The 20,479-nt window shown below is 54.5% G+C and overlaps 2 pseudogenes and 1 further gene across 1 annotated transcript; all 3 read left to right on the top strand.

The window, feature by feature from the left end:
- IGH (immunoglobulin heavy locus) overlaps window positions 1–20,479 on the top strand; it is a 1,293,408-nt gene that overhangs the window by 1,206,610 nt on the left and 66,319 nt on the right.
- On the top strand, window positions 428–3,658 carry ELK2AP (ETS transcription factor ELK2A, pseudogene; annotated as a pseudogene). Its single transcript, NR_046211.1, has 3 exons — window positions 428–854; window positions 1,282–1,378; window positions 3,391–3,658. The product of NR_046211.1 is annotated as an ETS transcription factor ELK2A, pseudogene (transcript).
- IGHGP (immunoglobulin heavy constant gamma P (non-functional)) lies at window positions 3,195–4,986 on the top strand (annotated as a pseudogene). Its single transcript is given in 4 exon segments — window positions 3,195–3,683; window positions 4,073–4,123; window positions 4,242–4,571; window positions 4,669–4,986. Coding segments are annotated over 4 exon segments (1,188 nt in total).

Here is a 20,479-nt window from a genome sequence, read left to right as displayed (position 1 = left end):
TTACTTCACCATGGCAGTTGTGGCCCCTGCTGCTGCACATGCCGCCCCAGGGGGCACTGCCTCAGGAAAGCCAGGCACACCCAAGGGTGCAGGAATGGCAGGCCCTGGCGGTTTGGCGCGCAACAGCCGGAACAAGTACATGCGCTCGGGCCTCTGTTCCACCTTCACCATCCAGTCTCTGCAGCCGCAGCCACCCCCTCAGCCTCGGCCTGCAGCGGTGCTCCCCAACGCAGCTCCTGCAGTCCAAGCCCCTGGGAGGCCTGCCTGGAGGCTGAGGAAGCCGGCTTCCCTCTGCAGGTCATCCTGACCCCGCCCGAGGCCCCAAACCCGAAACTGGAAGAGCCGAATGTGGAGCCGGGCTTGCGCCGCCCTTTGCCCCCGGAAGTGGAAGTGGAAGGGCCCGAGGAAGAGCTGGAATTCGCGGGGGAGAGAGGGTTCGTGCCAGAAACCGCCAAGGCCGAGCCTGAAGTCCCTCCACAGGAGGGCGTGCCAGCGTGGCTGCCGAGGTCCTTATGGACACCGCAGGGCAGGCGGGCGGCCACGCGGCTTCCAGCCCTCAGATCTCCCAGCCGCAGAAGGGCCGGAAGCCCCGGGACCTAGAGCTTCCACTCAGCCCGAGCCTGCTAGGTGCGCCGGGACCCGAACGGACCCCAGGATCGGGAACTGGCTCCGGCCTCCAGGCGCCGAGGCCGGCGCTGACCCTGTCCCTGCTTCCTACGCACACGTTGACCCCGGCGCTGCTGACACCCAGCTCGCTGCCTCCCAGCGTTCACTTCCGGAGCAGCCTGAGTCCCGCTGCGCCCCGCAGCCCGGCCAAGCTCTCCTGCCAGCTTCCGTCCAGTGGCGGCGCCCAGGTGCACATCCCTTCCATCGGCGTGGCTGGCCTCTCGACCCCCGCGGTGCTCTCGCCAGGGCCGCAGAGGCCATGACCACCACCAGCACCACCACCCCTTCTGGGGTCCCTCCATCCGTGCTCTCTCAAGGAGAAACACAGTTCAACTGAAAGACTCATGCTCTGATTGTGGTGGGGTGGGGATCCTTGGGAAGGATTTCTCCCAGGAGTGACTCTCATTAACTCCTCCACAGAAAACACTCAGCTTCCACAGCTTCTCTCTTTTCTCTCTTTTCTGTCCGTCCCCCAGTGGCTGCCCTGACACGTCTCCTACTTCAATGGTAGGGGCGGTTTATTTATTTATTTTTTGAAGGCCACTGGGAAGCGCCTGACCTAACCTATTAGGGTGGTCAGGACGTCTCCCCCACCTCCCCGCTTTTTTCCCCAAGACAGGACAATCGGGGTCTGACTTGAGAACGACCTTTCTTTCTTCATTCCTCGGCCTGCCCGTGGGGAGATGAGGGAGCCCTGTGTCCATTTTAGGATGTGAGTAGAAGTTAGTTTCGTTTTATTATTCCTGGCCATACTCGGGGTCCAGGAAGAATTTGTACCATTTAATGGGTTGGGAGTCTTGGCCAAGGCAGAATCACACCCTTGGAATAGAAATTTCCACCTCCCCAACCTTTCTCTCAGACAGCTTATCCTTTTTTAACCAACTTTTTGGCCAGGGAGGAATGTCCCTTTGTTCTTCTTCCCCCTGAGAAGCCATTCCTTTGTCTGCCAAACTCCCTGGGGTCCTGCCTGTTTCCTCCCATGGAGGGGTTTTGTGGGGGTGGTTCCTGTCTGGGGGGGCCCCTCCAGCCAGTACTCCAGGTCTCCCTGTCTCTCCCGTGCTGCCATTTTGATAGTATAATCTATTTTTAAATGGGGCTTTTCAATAGGGGAGAGGGAGTCATCTCTTCCTATATTTGGTGGGGTGGGTGTGAAGAAAGGGATTTGGGAGGGAATCTTCCTGCCGCCTCCCCCCCAGATGTTTATTTTTGATAACAAATGTGTATTTTCAGTTCCCTCCCTCCCAGCCCCCCAATTTCCTACAGGTAGGTACAAAGGACACTTTCAATGTCCCTGGAGGTGGGAGGGAGGAATGGGGGACATAAAGCCTGTCCTGTCTCTATTCTAGGCAGGAAGAGTGGGTTCAAAAGACTCCTGGGCTTCCCTGTCAGCCCTGGCCCAGCCCAGGCCTTGGGACCTGGGGGTTGGTGATTTGGGGGACGGTGCTACACTCGTCTCCACTGTTTTGCTTCCCCAAAATGGACCTTTTTTTTTTCTAAAGAGTCCCAGAGAATGGGGAATTGTTCCTGTAAATATATATTTTTCAAGGTGAAAAAAAAAAAAGAAAAACCTGCCATAATGAAGAGCAGACCAATATTCCAGAAAACTGTCACTTTAACAGAGAAGACCAAATTCTAGTTTCACATGAACTGTTAATATTAAAGCTAATTTTAATTAAACCTTATAAATAATTCCATCCAGGCTGGGCAAGGTGGCTTACACCTGTAGTCCCAGCATTCCAGGAGGGTGGATCACTTAAGCCCAGGAGTTTGAGATCAGCCTGGGCAACATGGGGAAGCCCTGTCTCTACAAAAAATACAAAAAAAAAATTGGCCAGGCATGGTGGCACGTGCCCGTAGTCCCAGCTACTTGGGAGGCTGAGGTGGGAGGATTGCTTGAGCCCTCCCACCTCAACCTCCCTCAGCCTCAGTGCTGAGTGCCACTGCACTGCTGCCTAGGCAACACAGTGGGACCCTGTCTCAAAAATAAATAAATAAATAAATCCGGCCAGGTGCAGTGGCTCATGCCTGTAATCCCAACACTTTGGGAGGCCTAGGCGGGTGGATCATGAGGTCAGGAGTTCGAGACCAGCCTGGCCAACGTGGTGAAACCCCTGTCTCTACTAAAACTATAAAAATTAGCTGGGCGTGGTGGTGGGCACCTGTAATCCCAGCTACTCTGGAGGCTGAGGCAGGAGAATCGCTTGAACCCAAGAGGCAGAGGTTGCAGTGAACCGAGATCACACCATTGCACTCCAGCTTAGGCAACAAGAGTGAAACTCTGTCTCAAAAAAATAAATAAATAAATCCAATCACAGCCGCCTTTGACCACATAAGATCCCTTTTCCACAATCCTTTTACAACTTTTTATTTGTTTGTTTTTTGTTTTGTTTTGTTTTTTGTTTTTGTTTTTGTTTTTTTTGAGACAAAGCACTGACCTGGCTGCCGAGCCCCGCCCCCTAGGCTGCAGGGGTGCCTGCAGAAGGGCACCACAGGGCCACCAGTCCTGCAAGCTTTCTGGGGCAGGCCGGGCCTGACTTTGGCTTTGGGGCAGGGAGGGGGCTAAGGTGAGGCAGGTGGCACCAGCCAGGTGCACACTCAATGCCCGTGAGCCCAGACACTGGACCCTGCCTGGACCCTCGCGGATAGACAAGAACCGAGGGGCCTCTGCACCCTGGGCCCAGCTCTGTCCCACACCGCGGTCACATGGCACCACCTCTCTTGCAGCCTCCACCAAGGGCCCATCGGTCTTCCCCCTGGTGCCCTCCTCCAGGAGCGTCTCTGAGGGCACAGCGGCCCTGGGCTGCCTGGTCAAGGACTACTTCCCCGAACCGGTGACGGTGTCGTGGAACTCAGGGGCCCTGACCAGAAGCGTGCACACCTTCCCGGCTGTCCTACAGTCCTCAGGACTCTACTCCCTCAGCAGCGTGGTGACCGTGCCCTCCAGCAGCTTGGGCACCCAGACCTACACCTGCAACGTAGATCACAAGCCCAGCAACACCAAGGTGGACAAGACAGTTGGTGAGAGGCCAGCACAGGGAGGGAGGGTGTCTGCTGGAAGCCAGGCTCAGCCCTCTTGCCTGGACGTACCCCGGCTGTGCAGCCCCAGTCCAGGGCAGCAAGGCAGGCCCCATCTGTCTCCTCACCCGGAGGCCTCTGCCCGCCCCACTCATGCTCAGGGAGAGGGTCTTCTGGCTTTTTCCACCAGGCTCCAGGCAGCCACAGGCTGGAAGCCCCTACCCCAGGCCCTGCGCACAAAGGGGCAGGTGCTGCACTTAGACTGGCCAAGAGCCATATCCGGGAAGACCCTGCCCCTGACCTAAGCCCACCCCAAAGGCCAAGATCTCCACTCCCTCAGCTCAGACACCTCTCCTCCCAGATCTGAGTAACTCCCAATCTTCTCTCTGCAGAGCCCAAAACCCCATGTTGTGACACAACTCACACATGCCCACCATGTGCAAGTAAGCCAGCCCAGGCCTCGCCCTCCAGCTCAAGGCGGGACAGGTGCCCTAGAGTAGCCTGCGTCCAGGGACAGGCCCCAACCGGGTGCTGACACGTCCGCCTCCATCTCTTCCTCAGCAACTGAACCCCTGGGGGGACCGTCAGTCTTCCTCTTCCCCCCAAAACCCAAGGATACCCTCATGATCTCCCGGACCCCTGAGGTCACGTGCGTGGTGGTGGACGTGAGCCACGAAGACCCTGAGGTCAAGTTCAACTGGTACGTGGACGGCGTGGAGGTGCATAATGCCAAGACAAAGCCGTGGGAGGAGCAGTACAACAGCACGTACCATGTGGTCAGCGTCCTCACCGTCGTGCACCAGAACTGGCTGAACGGCAAGGAGTACAAGTGCAAGGTCTCCAACAAAGGCCTCCCAGCCCCCATCGAGAAAACCATCTCCAAAACCAAAGGTGGGACCCACGGAGCGCGAAGGCCACGTGGACAGAGGCCGGCTTGGCCCACCCTCTGCCCTGGGAGTGACCGCTGTACCAACCTCTGTCCCTACAGGGCAGCCCCGAGAACCACAGGTGTACACCCTGCCCCCATCCCAGAAGATGACCAAGAACCAGGTCACCCTGACCTGCCTGGTCAAAGGCTTCTACCCCAGCGACATCGCCGTGGAGTGGGAGAGCAATGGGCAGCCGGAGAACAACTACAAGACCACGCCTCCCATGCTGGACTCCAACGGCTCCTTCTTCCTCTATAGCAAGCTCACCGTGGACAAGAGCAGGTGGCAGCAGGGGAACGTCTTCTCATGCTCCGTGATGCATGAGGGTCTGCAGAACCACTACACGCAGAAGAGCCTCTCCCTGTCCCCGGGGTAAATGAGTGCGACGGCCGGCAAGCCCCCGCTCCCCGGGCTCTCGCGGTCGCACGAGGATGCTTGGCACGTACCCCGTCTACATACTTCCCAGGCACCCAGCATGGAAATAAAGCACCCACCACTGCCCTGGGCCCCTGCGAGACTGTGATGGTTCTTTCCACGGGTCAGGCCGAGTCTGAGGCCTGAGTGGCATGAGGGAGGCAGAGCGGGTCCCACTGTCCCCACACTGGCCCAGGCTGTGCAGGTGTGCCTGGGCCGCCTAGGGTGGGGCTCAGCCAGGGGCTGCCCTCGGCAGGGTGGGGGATTTGCCAGCGTGGCCCTCCCTCCAGCAGCACCTGCCCTGGGCTGAGCCACGAGAAGCCCTAGGAGCCCCTGGGGACAGACACACAGCCCCTGCCTCTGTAGGAGACTGTCCTGTTCTGTGAGCGCCCTGTCCTCCGACCCCCCATGCCCACTCGGGGGCATGCCTAGTCCATGTGCGTAGGGACAGGCCCTCCCTCACCCATCTACCCCCACGGCACTAACCCCTGGCAGCCCTGCCCAGCCTCGCACCCGCATGGGGACACAACCGACTCCGGGGACATGCACTCTCGGGCCCTATGGAGGGACTGGTCCAGATGCCCACACACACACTCAGCCCAGACCCGTTCAACAAACCCCGCACTGAGGTTGGCCGGCCACACGGCCACCACACACACACGTGCACGCCTCACACACGGAGCCTCACCCGGGCGAACTGCACAGCACCCAGACCAGAGCAAGGTCCTCGCACACGTGAACACTCCTCGGACACAGGCCCCTACAAGCCCCATGCGGCACCTCAAGGCCCACGAGCCTCTCGGCAGCTTCTCCACTTGCTGACCAGCTCAGACAAACCCAGTCCTCCTCTCACAAAGTGCCCCTGCAGCCGCCACACACACACAGGGGATCACACACCACGTCACGTCCCTGGCCCTGGCCCACTTCCCAATACAGCCCTTCCCTGCTCCTGGGGTCACATGAGGGGTGGGCTTCATATCTCCTGCCCTCTGGGGCTCAGGGAGGGACACGGGAGACGGGGAGCGGGTCCTGCTGAGGGCCAGGTCGCTATTTAGGGCCGGGTGTCTGGCTGAGCCCCAGGGCCAAAGCCGGTGCCCAGGATGGACAGCTTCCGGGAGCTGACCTCAGGACACTGTTGGGCCATCGAGGCCGGGCCCTACATCCTAGGCCCCGCCACAGAGGGAATCACCCCCAGAGGCCCAAGCCCAGGGGGACACAGCACTGACCACCCCCTTCCTGTCCAGAGCTGCAACTGGAGGAGAGCTGTGCGGAGGCGCAGGACGGGGAGCTGGACGGGCTGTGGACGACCATCACCATCTTCATCACACTCTTCCTGCTAAGCGTGTGCTACAGTGCCACCGTCACCTTCTTCAAGGTCGGCCGCACGTTGTCCCCAGCTGTCCTTGACATTGCCCCCATGCTGTCACACACTGTCCCTGACACTGTCCCCAGGCTGTCCCCACCTGTCCCTGACGCTGTCCCCCACGCTCTCACAAACTGTCCCTCACTCTGTACCCACCTGTCCAACAGTGTCCCCCAGACTGTCTCCACATGTCCCTGACACTATCCCCAACGCTGTCGCCACCTGTCCCTGACACTCCCCAACGCTGTACCCACCTGTCCAACAGTGTCCCCCAGACTGTCTCCACATGTGCCTGACACTATCCCCAATGCTGCACCCACCTGTCCCTGACACTGTCCCCCACACTGTCACAAACTGTCCCTGACACTGTCCCCCACACGTTCCCTGTCCCTGACACTGTCCCCTGTGCTGTCACAAACTGTCACTGACAGTGTCCCCCACACTATCCCCACCTGTCCCTGACGCTGTCCCCCACACTATCCCCACCTGTCCCTGACGCTGTCCCCCACACTATCCCCACCTGTCCCGGACACTATTCCCCACACTGTCCCCACCAGTCCCCAACACTGTACCCCATGCTATCCCCACCTGTCCCCAACACTGTCCCCCACAGTCCCCTCCTGTCCCTGAATGTCCCCCATGCTGTTTCCTCCTGTCCCCTCCTGTCCCGACACTGTCCCCTACACTGTCTTCTCGTCTCCTCCTATCCCTGACACTGTCCCCCACGCTGTCCCCTCCTGTCCCCAACAATGTCCCCCACAGTTTCCTCCTGTACCTCACACTGTCCCCCATGCTGTCTTCTCCTGTCTCCTCCTGTCCCTGACACTGTCCCCCACGCTGTCACCACCTGTCCCCGACACTGTCCCCCATACTGTCCCCACCTGTCCCCGACACTGTCCCCCACGCTGTCCCCTCCTGTCCCCAACACTGTCCCCATGCTGTCTCCTCCTGTCTCTGACACTGTCCCCCACTCTGTCCCCTACAGTCCCTGACACTGTCCCCATGCTTTCCCCTCCTGTATGCAACACTGTCCCCCATGCTGTCTCCTCCTGTCCCTGACACTGTCCCCCATGCTGTCCCCACCTGTCCCACTGTCCCACATGCTGTCCCCACCTGTCCCTGACACTGTCCCCGACACTGTCTCTCATGCTGTCCCCACCCATCTCCGACACTGTACCCCATGCTGTCCCCACCTGTCCTTGACACTGTCCCCCATGCTGTCCCCACCTGTCCCTGATGCTGTCCCCCACACTGTCCCCATCTGTCCCTGACACTCTCCCCAATGCTGTCCCCACCTGTCCCTGACACTGTCCCCCACGCTGTTCCCACCTGTCCCCGACACTGTCCCCCACACTGTCCCCACCTGTCCCAACAATGTCCTCACACTGTCCCCACCTGTCCCGACACTGTCCATGCTGTCCGCACCTCTCCCTGACACTGTCCCCCATGCTGTCCCCACCTCTCCCTGACGCTGTCCCCCACACTGTCCCCTCTCCCTGACACTGTCCCCCACACTGTCCCCACCTTTCCCTGACACTGTCCCCCACGCTGTCCCCACCTCCCCCTGACACTGTCCCCTACACTGTTCCCACCTCTCCCTAACACTGTCCCCCACGCTGTCCCCTCCTGTCCCCAACACTTTCCCCCACGCTGTCCCCACCAGTCCCCAACACTGTACACCATGCTTTCCCCACCTGTCCCCAACACTGTCCCCCACACTGTCCCCTCCTGTCCCCAAAAATGTCCCCCACACTGTTTCCTCCTGTCCCCAACACTGTCCACCACTCTGTCTCCTCCTGTCCCTGACACTGTCCCCCACTCTGTCCCCACCTGTCCCCAACACTATCCCCCACACTGTCTCCACCTGTCCCTGACGCTGTCTTCTGTACTGCCCACATGCTGTTGGTGCCCTGGCTCTGCTCTCCATGTCCAGGCCTCAGAGCAGGCAGTGGTGAGGCCCTGGCACCTGGGTGGACTGAAGGGCGGATGGGCCTCAGGGGCAGGGCTGTGGCCTGGGTGGCATGAGGGGTGGGTGGACCTTGGGGGAAGAGATGTGGCCCTCAGTGCCCTGAGGGGTGGGTGGGGCTCGGGGACAGGGCTGTGGCCTCGCTCACCCCTGTGCTGTGCCTTGCCTACAGGTGAAGTGGATCTTCTCCTCGGTGGTGGACCTGAAGCAGACCATCGTCCCCGACTACAGGAACATGATCGGGCAGGGGGCCTAGGGCCACCCTCTGCGGGGTGTCCAGGGCCGCCCAGACCCCACACACGAGCCGTGGGCCATGCTCAGCCACCACCCAGGCCACACCTGCCCCCGACCTCACCGCCCTGAACCCCATGGCTCTCTGGCCTCGAAGTCACCTTCTGACCCCTGACACGCCCCCCTTCCAGACCCTGTGCATAGCAGGTCTACCCCAGACCTCCGCTGCTTGATGCATGCAGGGCGCTGGGGGCCAGGTGTCCCCTCAGCAGGACGTCCCTGCCCTCCAGACCACCAGGTGCTCACACAAAAGGAGTCAGTGACCGGCATCCCAGGCCCCCACCCAGGCAGGACCTCGCCCTGGAGCCAACCCCGTCCACACCAGCCTCCTGAACACAGGCGTGGTTTCCAGTTGGTGAGTGGGAAAATCAGCCGCCAAGGTAGGGAAGCCACAGCACCATCAGGCCCTGTTGGGGAGGCTTCCAAGAGCTGCGAAGGCTCACTCAGACGGCCTTCCTCCCAGCCCGCAGCCAGCCAGCCTCCATTCCGGGCACTCCCGTGAACTCCTGACATGAGGAATGAGGTTGTTCTGATTTCAAGCAAAGAACGCTGCTCTCTGGCTCCTGAGAACAGTCTCGGTGCCAGCACCACCCCTTGGCTGCCTGCCCACACTGCTGGATTCTCGGGTGGAACTCGACCCGCAGGGACAGCCAGCCCCAGAGTCCGCACTGGGGAGAGAAGGGGCCAGGCCCAGGACACTGCCACCTCCCACCCACTCCAGTCCACCGAGATCACTCAGAGAAGAGCCTGGGCCATGTGGCCGCTGCAGGAGCCCCACAGTGCAAGGGTGAGGATAGCCCAAGGAAGGGCTGGGCATCTGCCCAGACAGGCCTCCCAGAGAAGGCTGGTGACCAGGTCCCAGGCGGGCAAGACTCAGCCTTGGTGGGGCCTGAGGACAGAGGAGGCCCAGGAGCATCGGGGAGAGAGGTGGAGGGACACCGGGAGAGCCAGGAGCGTGGACACAGCCAGAACTCATCACAGAGGCTGGCGTCCAGTCCCGGGTCACGTGCAGCAGGAACAAGCAGCCACTCTGGGGGCACCAGGTGGAGAGGCAAGACGCCAAAGAGGGTGCCCGTGTTCTTGCGAAAGCAGGGCTGCTGGCCACGAGTGCTGGACAGAGGCCCCCACGCTCTGCTGCCCCCATCACGCCGTTCCGTGACTGTCACGCAGAATCCGCAGACAGGAAGGGAGACTCGAGCGGGAGTGCGGCCAGCGCCTGCCTCAGCCGTCAGGGAGGACTCCCGGGCTCACTCGAAGGAGGTGCCACCATTTCAGCTTTGGTAGCTTTTCTTCTTTTAAATTTTCTAAAGTTCATTAATTGTCTTTGATGTTTCTTTTGTGATGACAATAAAATATCCTTTTTAAGTCTTGTACTTCGTGATGGGAGCCGCCTTCCTGTGTCCACGTGCCTCCTGCCCCCGGTGGGAAACACGGTCAGGAGGAGGCTGGTCCAGCTGCACCTCGGGGGCTCCCTGCACACGCCCCCCGCCTCCTGCAGCCACACGCATTGCCCGAGCGACCCTCCCTGGCCCCTGTCGCTACATGGACCCCCGGGGCTTCTCCTCTTTTCTACATGGATGCAGTTTCTCCTCCTGCTGGGCACGGTGCTGCCTGCCCTGGTCACTCTGCGGGGGACAGGGCCTCCAGGGAAAGCTGGGTCGAGGCTGGGAGCTGGCTCAGGCTGGCCAGGCAGAGCCACAGGGAGGGCCTTCCAGAACCAACCATGGTCCGAAGCGAGAGGTGGGTGTCAGATCTGTGTGAGTCAGCTCAGGACCACAGCGGGGCGGCTCCCACGGCAGACATGGATCCTCCCAGGCCTAGAGACCAGGAATCTGAGATCAGGATGCAGGCAGGGCTGGTTTCTCTCAAGCCCTCTCTCCTTGGCTTGTAGACACCGTCTCCTCCCTGGTCCTCACGTGGCCATCCCTCTGTGTGCCCGTGTCCTAAGCTTCTCTTCTTAGAACACACATCGGATTAGATTAGTGACCCCCTATGAACTTAATGACCTCTGTAAAGACCCCATCTCCAAATAGTCACATTGTGAGGCCAGGGATTAAGACTTGAATATATGAATTTGTAGGGGCCACAATTTAACCCATCACAGTCCAGACTCTGGGCCCCAAAATTCATGTTCTTCTCACATGCAGAATACATTCATCCTGTCTCAGCATCCCCCTGGGCACTAGGTCATGTAGCAAGGACAGATTTTCAACAGAAATAACTATTGCAACAGAAGAAAGAGTCCGGCATGACCTGGACTCACCTTCATCTGTGCAGAGGCCACAGCCTTGTAAAGGGAGGTGGTAGGGGGAGCAGGGAGGGTGCTCGGGGCTCAGTCTTCGGGGAAGGGAAAAGTTGCCCAGCGCTGGTCAGCGTCCCCGGGATGGGACCCGCTGTGTCCGTGCCGGCCACTGTTGAGGTCAGGATTCTGTCCTCCCAGAGCCTGGAGACACAGGCCCCATCCTTCCCAATGGGGACACTTCAGGGAGCGGCTCTCAAGTCTTGAGAAAGACCCTCCTGGGTCACAGGAAATGCACAGACATCGGGAACGGATAGAAGGTCGTGTGGTTGCGGCCCTCTCAGCAGATACCCTGAGAAAGGGAGGTCGGGGTTGGTCCAAACGGTGAGTTCTGGTGCACGGAGCTTTCTCAGGCAGGTGTTGACGGGGCAGGGGTCGGCCTAGGGGTACGGCCAGAAGCTGTTAGAAACTGTTAGTGTCTGCTCAAGTCTTTACAAGCCAAGGTTGAGGCCGAGTGGAGAGGCTCCGAGGAGCCTGGCTGGAACTCAGTCAAGGACAGGGTCTTGTTACTGCAGTGGCTGCGGTGGCTGCGGTGGCTGGAAAATGCCGTCGGAGTTGCCTGTGGCAGGAGAGAGACCATCTCACCCAGGAAGGAGGAGTGGTTGGATTCGTTTGTGTGGCATCGAGCAGCTGGAGCTGCACCAGAGTTGGGGGTGAAATCCCCAGAGCCCGGACCCTGCTGTGCCGTGGGAGGGCTCGCCGCTGGAGGGTGGGCTTCAGGGTGCCTGGCCTGAACTGGGTGCTGAAGCCCAGCCCTTTAACTCTCAGGACACGCTGCTGCAGCCCCGCGGGGGGTGAGGGAGAGAGCACCTGGGGTGCAGGGCGGGCAGCAGCTGCATCACCGGCTCTATCCCAAGCCCAAGGATGGCCCCTCCCTGAAGCACCCAGGCCCCACCTCCCCCTTTCCACCTGGAACCGAGCATCCTCCAGAGGGCCAGTCCTCCTGCAGGAACACCACGCCCAGCCCCAGGACCCTCCCTCAACTCTCCAGCAAGGCTGCCTCCACGCACCCCCTAGCAGTCCATGCTGTGATGTAACATGACATGGTGTGATGTGGTGTGATATCCATGGTGTGCCAGGGTGTAATGTGTGATGTGACAGGACATGGTGTGATGTGGTATGACAGAGTGTGACATCCCTGGTGTGACATGGTGTGATGTGGTGTGATGTGATGTGACATGGTTGGACATGGTGTGATGTGGTGTGACATAGTGGGATGGGGCATGACATCCCTAGTATGATAGGATATGATATGGTGTGATGTGGTATGGTGTGACATGGTGGGACATCCTGTGACAGAGTGTGACACCCCTGGTGTGATGTGGTGTGACGTAGTGTGATGTGATATGACCTGATGTGATGCGGTGTGACATCCCTGGTGTGATGGGGTATGATATCATTTAACGGGTGTGATGTGATGTGATGTGATGGAGTGTGACATCTCTGGTGTGACATGTGTGATGTGGTGTGACAGAGTGTCACATCGTTGGTGTGATGTAATGCAGTGTGACATGGTGTGATGTGGCATGATGGGGTGTGACAGGGTTCGACCTCCCTCATGTGATGAGGAGTTGCATGGTGTGATGTGGTATGACATGGTGTAATGTCCCTTCTGTGATGTGGTGTTGGGCTACAAGGTTGGACATGGTGTGATGTGGTGTTACATCCCTGGTGTGATGCAGTGTGACATAGTATTATATGGTATGACATCCCTGGTATGATGGGGCATAATATGGTTTGATGTGGAATGGTGTGACATGATGTGATGTAATGGGACAAGGTGTGACATCCCTAGTGTGATGTGGTGTGATGAAGTGTAACAGGCTGTGACATAGTGTGGTGTGGTGTGGTGTGACATGATGTGATGTGGTTTGGCATAATGTGACGTGTTCTGATGGGGCGTGACGCCCCTGGTGTGATGGGGTGTGATGTTGTGTGGCATTATGTGAAGTGGTGTGATGACGGGTGACATCCACGGTGTGATGGGGTGTGATGTGGTGTGATGTGGCATGACATAAGGTGATGTGGCATAACATCCCTGGTGTGATGGGGTGTGATGTGGTGTGACACAATTTGATGTGGTGTATTGTGGTGTGACATAATGTGATGTGGCATAACATCCCTGGGGTAATGGGGTATGATGTAGTTTGACATGGCGTGACGTAATGTGATGTGGTGTGATGGGGTGTGACAACTCTGGTGGGGTGGGGTGTGATGAAGTGTGGTGTGACATGATGTGATGTCTGATGTGCTGTGTCAGGGTGTCACATACTTGGTGTGATGTGATGCGGTGTGACACAGTGTGATGTGGCATGATGGGGTGTGACCTGGTACGACATCCCCAGTGTGATGAGGAGTTACATAGTGTGATGTGGTGTGACATCCCTGGTGTGACATAGTGTGATATGGTGTGATGAAGGGAACCCCTGGCTTATAGAGGTGTAAAATAGGTCAAAGGAAATAAAAGATGCAGAGCTCAATAGAATGAAATAACCTGGAAGAGGGTACAAGACGATGCCTTGCTTTCCATGGAAGGCACCTACTAATCTTTTGTTTTTCTCAATGTTTCCTATAAACATATATAACTGACTGACACAAACAGATCCATAATATAAAGAAGACCCCTGTAAACCAACGAGAAAAAAAATCAAATAATTCAACAAGGAATAGGCAAAAGAATTGAACAGATGTTTTACAGAAGATATCCAAATAGCCGCTAAACATATGAAAAGGTGTTGAACCACACTAGTCAACAGGGAAATGAAAATGAAAAACCACATGAGAGAAAGTAGTTCTGATTCCAGTAATGCTGGAGCAGCTAATATCAGACTAGCCCTTTGGCAGATGGCAATTATAAACACTGGAAAAGCTGTAAGCACACACAACACCCACACACACCAATTGCAGGCACTGGAACATGACCAGAAGTAGGCAAACACTAGTAAGGATTATTCCCGGAAATATTGGTCTGAAGTCACACCCCAGGGCATGTAATGGGTGCAGCTAGAGTTCAAGCAGGAAACTGCAGCCCTCCTGGTGAGGAGTGGGATGCAGGGCTGCATTTTCAGAGCAGCTGGAAATGAAGAGAAGATGTCCATAAAGGAGAAGGTCACCAAAGGGAAACCCCACAATCTGCAAGTAAACTCCACTGAAACCTCTGGCCGATCCCTTAGGTGTGCATGGGTAGGGAAAACTCCAAAGGGCCCAGCAGAAAGCAGCACCTGTAAGGTCGAGAGAACTGAGATTCCAGCTACTGCCAACTGCCAGGCAGACAGACTTGGGAGTTTGAGTCAACTCAAGCTGTTTCCTAACATTGAAAAAAACAATCAATGCCCTGCCAAGGAAGAACGCAAAACCCATAGCCTGTACCACATGTTATCAACAACATCAGGTGCACATCCAAAATTACCATATATGCAAAGAAACATGAAAATGTGATCCATAGTCAGAAGAAAAAGGGATCAATGGAGATCAACTCCAAGATGACCTAGATGCAGACCCAGTTTTCACACAAGGACTTTAAAGAAGTCATGTTAAATATGTTCAAAGACTTAAAGGACAATATGGTTATAATGAGTGACTAGATGGGGAATCTCTGTAAGAAAGGGAAAATATTAACAAGAACCAAATGAAAATTCTAGAACTAAAAGTATGATTCTGAAATGAAAAACATCATTTGGCCAGGCACAGTGGCCCATGCCTGTTATCCTAGCACTTTGGGAGGCCAAGAAGGAAGGATCACTTGATCCCAGGAGTTTGAGACCAGCCTGGGCAACATGGAGAAATCCCATCTCTATTTTATTAAAAAAGAAAAGAAATAGAAAAACATTACTCAAGTTTCATAACAGAATGGAGCAGACATGAGAAGGAACTGAAAACTTAAAGATGCATCAATAGACTATGTCAATTATTTTTAATCTAATGCAAAGAAGAGAGAGAAAAATACTAAAAATGAAAAGAGACTCATCCTGCTGGACAAGGCGAAGCATTCTAAAACATGTGAAACTGGAGTCCAGAGGGGGATGTAATACTTCCATGGGAAAGGTCAACCCTAAGCTATATGCAAATGTACCTGCGTAGGCTGGTGTGCTGGGTTGATGGCATCTCCCTGGCCAAATGTATGCCCACCTGGAACCTCAGAATGTGACCATATTTAGAAATAGGGTCTTTACAAATTAGTTTAAGGACTTGAGATGATATCATACTAAATTTTCGATGGGTCCCAAATCCAAAGACTGGTGTCCTCATGAGAGGAGAGGACACAGACACACATGGAAGTAGCCAGATGATGACAAAGGAGAAGATGAGGGGTGTGTCAGGAGCCACCTGTGTTTGTCCCTTTGCATTACTGTAAAGAAATACATGAGGCTGGGTAACTTATAAAGGAAAGAGATTGAATTAGCTCACAGTTCTGCAGGCTTTATAGGAAGCATGGCATCAGCATCTGCTTCTGGCGAGGACCTCAGGAAACTTACAATCATAGCAGAAGGTGAAGGGAGAGCAGGTATGCCACATGGCAAGAATGGGAGCAAGAGGCTGAGGGGGGGCCCAGACTTAAACAACTAGACTGTGTGTGAGCTGACTGGGGGAGAATTCACTCATCACCAAGGGGAAGATGCTCAATCATTCATGAGGGATCTGCCCCCTTGATCTAATCACCTCCTAGTGGCCCCACTTCCAACACTGGGAATCATATTACAACATGAGATTTGGAGGGGACAAATATATAAACCATATCCTTCCACCCCTGGTCCCCCAAATCTCATGTCCTTCTCATGTTGCAAAATACAATCATGCCTTCTCAACAGTCCCCCAAAGTCTTACCTCATTCCAGAATCAACAAAAAATTCCCAAGTCCCAAGTCTCATCTGAAGATGAGTCCCTTCCACCTATCAGCCTAGGAAATCAAAGACAAATTGACTCCCAAAATACAATGAGAGTGCAGACATTGGGTAAACATTCCCATTCCACAAGGGAGAAGTTGGCAAAAAGAAAGGATCTACATGCCCCATACACGTCAGAAATCCAGCAGGGCAGTTATTAAATCTTAAAGCTCCAAGGTAATCTCCTTTGACTTCATGTCCCATATCCAGGGCACACTGGTGCAGGGGGTGGGCTCCCAAAGCCTTGGACAACTCTACCCCTGTGGCTTTGGAGGATGTAGCCCCTGTGGCTTCTCTCACACGATAGAGTTGAGTGCCTGTGGCTTTTCCAGATTCAGGGTGCAAACTGCCAGTGGATCTACCATTCTGGGGTCTGGAGGACAGTGGCCCCCTTCCCACAGCTCCACTAGGCAGTGCCCTGGTGGGGACATTATATGGGGGTTCAACCCCACATTCTCTTTGGCACTGCTCTAGTAGAGGTTCTCTGTGAGGGCTCCATGCTGGCAGGAGGCTTCTCTCTGGGCACCTAGGGTTTCTCATACATTTCTGAAATCTAGAGTGAAGATGCCAAGCCTCCTTCACTCTTGCATTCTGGGGGCCTACAGGCTTAACACCAGATGGAAGTTCCCAAGGCTTATAGTGGCTTGCACTCTCCAAAGAAGCAGCCTAAGCTGTACTTGGGGCCCTTTGAGCCAAGGCTGGAGCCAGAGGAACCAGGATGTGGAGAGCAGTGTCCCAAGGCTGCACAGGCAGCAGTGGCCATGGGCATGGCCCACAAAACCATCCTTTCCCTCTTGGCCTCTGGGCCTGTTATGGGAAAGACCACCTCAGAGATTTCCGAAAGGCCTTCAAGGCCTTTTTCCCTTTGTTCTGGATATGAGCACTTAGCTCCCTTTTAGTTATGCTAATCTCTCTAGCAACTGGCTGCTCCATAGCCTACTTATATTTGTCTCCTGAAAATACCTTTTCTTTTCTACCACATGGCCAGGCTGTGAATTTTCCACATTTTTTATGCTCTGCTTCCCTTTGTTGATGAAAAAAGCCAAACTCCATAAAACACTTGACGAGATTGATTCTGAGCCACATGTGAGAGCCATGAACTGTGGCACAGCCTCAAAAGGTCCTGAGAACACCTGTGCAAGGTGGTTGGGTTGCGGCCTGCTTTTATGTTTTAGGGAGACATATCAATCAATACATGTAAAGTATACATTGGTTTGGTTTGGTTTGGAAAAGCAGGACAATTCAAAGTGGGGAATTCCAAATCATAGGTGGATTTGAAGATTTTCTGATTGGCAATTGGCTGAAAAAGTTAAATTATCTAAAAAGTTGAAGTCAGCAAAAAGCAATGCTTAAGATAAGGGGGTTGTGGAAGCCAAGTTTCTTGTTATGTAGATGAAGCCTCCACGTTCCAGAGAGAAGAGATGGTCAATGTCTCTTATCAGAACCTAAAAGGTGCCAGACTCTTGGATAAATCTCTCCTGAATCAGGAAGAGACCTGGAAAGGGAAAAAGATTCTCAACAGAATATACATTTCCTCCACAAGAGACGGCTTTGCAGGGCCCTTCCAAAATGTGTCAGAGAAATATATTCTGGCATAAAATACTTTAATTTCCTTCCATGCCTGCCACCTGTCATGTGATGCTATACCAGAATCAGGTTGGGATTTGATATCTTATTGCTACAAAGAGTCTGCTTTGTCAGTCTTAAGCTCCCTGTTTTAATGTTAACACTGGTCAGCTGAGCCTAAGCTCCAACAGGGAGAGGGTATAGTGAGGGAGTCCAAACCACCCTCCCCTTCCTGTCATGGCCTGAACTGGTTTTCCAGGTTTCTTTGGAATCCCCTTGGATTAGCATTTTATTTTGTCGTTTACACCTTTTAAATATAAGTTCCAACTTTAAGTCATTTCTTTGCTCCCATATCTTACCATAGACTGTTAGAAGCAACCAGGTCACACCTTAGAAACATCTGCTTAGAAATGTCTTCCACAGATGCCCTAAGTCATCACTCTTAAGGTCAACCTTCCACAGATCCCTAGGGCATGAACACAATGCAGCCAAGTTGTTTCTTAGGATTTAACAAGCGTGACCTTTACACCAGTTCCCAATAAGTTTCTCATTTCCATCTGAGATTTCATCAGCCTGGCTTTCACAGTCCATATGTCTATCAGCATTTTGGTGACAACCATTTAATAGTCTCTAAGAAATTCCAAACTTTCCCTCATCTTCCTGTCTTCTTCTGAGTCCTCCAAATTCTTCTAACCTCTCTGCCTGTTACCTGATTCCAAAGCTGCTTCCACATTTTCAGGTATCCTTATAGCAATGTTCCACTCCTCAATACCAATGTTCTGAGTTAGTCTATTTGTGTTACTAGAAAAAAAAAAAAAACATGAATCTGGTAATTTATAAAGAAAAGAGGTTTGCACCAGGCACTGTGGCAAGGAAGGGAGGATTAACTAGCTCACAGTTCTGCAGCCATTCCGGAAACACGGCCCTGGCATCTGCTTCTGGCGAGGCCTCAGGGAGATTGCAATCACGGCAGAAGGCGAAGGGGGAGCAGGCATGTCACATGGCAAGAGGGAGCAAGAGAAGAGAAGTGGCACGTCCTAGACTTTTAAACAACCAGCTGTCACAGGGACTAACTGAGGGAGAACTCACTCATCACCTGGGAGATGGTGCTAGGCCATTCATGAGGGGTCCAGCCCCATGATCTAATCACCTCCCACCAGGCCCACCTCCAACACTGGGAATCACATCTCAACATGAAATTTGGAGAGACACACATCCAAACTATTGCACCACAGGAAGCTGGAAGAGGTGGACGGTCCTCCCCTGGAGCACTCAGAGACAGCCACCAACACCTTGATCTCAGATTCCTGACTCCCAGAACTCTGAAAAAATTTTTGTTGTTTTAAGCCACATTTGTGATATTTTGTTACGGCAGCCACAGCACGGATATAGCTGGTAACAGAGTTCTTTAGCCTCCAAAATACAAGCCTGGGGTAAATAACTATTGAATTTGGCCACATGGAAATCAGGAAGAATGTAATAAGCATCATCGATGGACGGGATGACCTGGGAGATCGTGGCAAGTTTAAAGCTAATTGGAAGTTGGCAACCAAAAAATCCTGTCTTGCAAATTGCCAGGAAATTGCCAAGAAAACTTTTAGAAAACATGGTTAAAGATGGAGAAACCTGGATGAATCCCTGGTTTCTGAAGAGGTGCTTAGGCATTGAAGTGAGACTGATGAGACTTCACACTGTACCTTCAGAAGGGCAGACACTCACGAGATCATCAACCACGGCTCCCTCGCTGGGAGGCAGACACAGAGCTGGAGGCGGCGGCCACAAACTAGGTGGGCAGAGAGGCGTCAGCATCGGGACTTGCGGGAGGCCCTGGGAAGGAACAGGCAGCGGTGGGGCCTGGACAGCCCTGGGGAAAGGAAGTTACTTGGAGGAGACCAGGGGCTTGCATTTGGGCCAAAACCAAGGACAAGAGATCAGCTGGTCCCAGGGAACTCTGGAGCCCAGCACCCCACCACGGGTGCAGGGTCCTGACAACCCGAGAGGGCTGTGGGCACCGGGCACCAGCCTGTGGGGATTCTGAAGGCTGCTGCCCAGCCACACGTCCCGGTTCTGAACAAAGGGTTCAAGAGACACCTGCAAACCTACCTTTCTGAGAGCAGCCTCTTAGCCTCAGCTGGTATTGGCCTTTGGTCACCCCACATGCCCCGACAGTGGGGCCTGGCCTCAGAAAGGGGCCCCTCCATTTGTACTTTCTATCTGATCCTTGACACAGTGCTAACACCAAAGACCAAACCCGAATCTTGGTTCACATACTCTGCAAAGAAATGACTAAGACTAGTTCTTCCGGAGGTCAGTTTTAGAACGTTTATTCTGACTTAATTCTGCCTTATCTCTGTGCACCAAGAAAACTATCTGCACATCTGTAGTAAAATGTGAAGGTACCTTCATTTTGTTTGTATACTAAACTTTTAAGAAATACCTCACTTTTTAAAACTTGGTTTTGTGTTTTGTATGCTTATAATATTTTCCATAATAGATCATTTTAATGATGAACTCTGAGTCTTCTGACAGAATGCAGATCAATGGATTCCTAGCCATCAGGGAGGCGTTGATTGCAAAGGGGCCTGGTGGAATTTTTGGAGAGATTCTACATCTTCTTGCAACTGTTCATCTGGATTACGGTGGTGGTTGCATGACTGTGCATTTGTTGAAACTTACATGTCACAGGATGGATTATACTGAATGTAAACTACACTTGAGTAAATATGACTTTTAAAACTTTAAAAAGTTGGGGGATGGTTCACTGCCCCGGCTCGAAGCCCCCTGGCCACGCTGCCTGGCCAGCCCACCCCCATCCCTGCCAGCGCTTGCCTCCAGCGTCCCAACAGCCTCCTGACCCCCTGGGCTGCTCTAAACCCTCAGGAGCGCAGCCATCCGGGATCAGCTGGATGGAGATGGGGAGCCCGAGACTCGTGCCACACCACGTCCTCCCGCCCACACCAGCCACACGCAGACGTCAAAGCAGCACTGTCCTCGCACGCACTGCTCCCACCCACCCTGGCACGGCCATTCCAGGCCTGGGGCAGGAAGGCAGATGCTCCCCCTGCCCCCAGACACAAGCATTCCTGC

Source organism: Homo sapiens, chromosome 14, assembly GCF_000001405.40.
Source record: "Homo sapiens chromosome 14, GRCh38.p14 Primary Assembly".
In the NCBI taxonomy this organism is placed as follows: Eukaryota; Metazoa; Chordata; class Mammalia; order Primates; family Hominidae; genus Homo; species Homo sapiens.
Note: the sequence above shows the minus strand (reverse complement) of the source record. Positions and strands in the feature narration are given on the sequence as shown.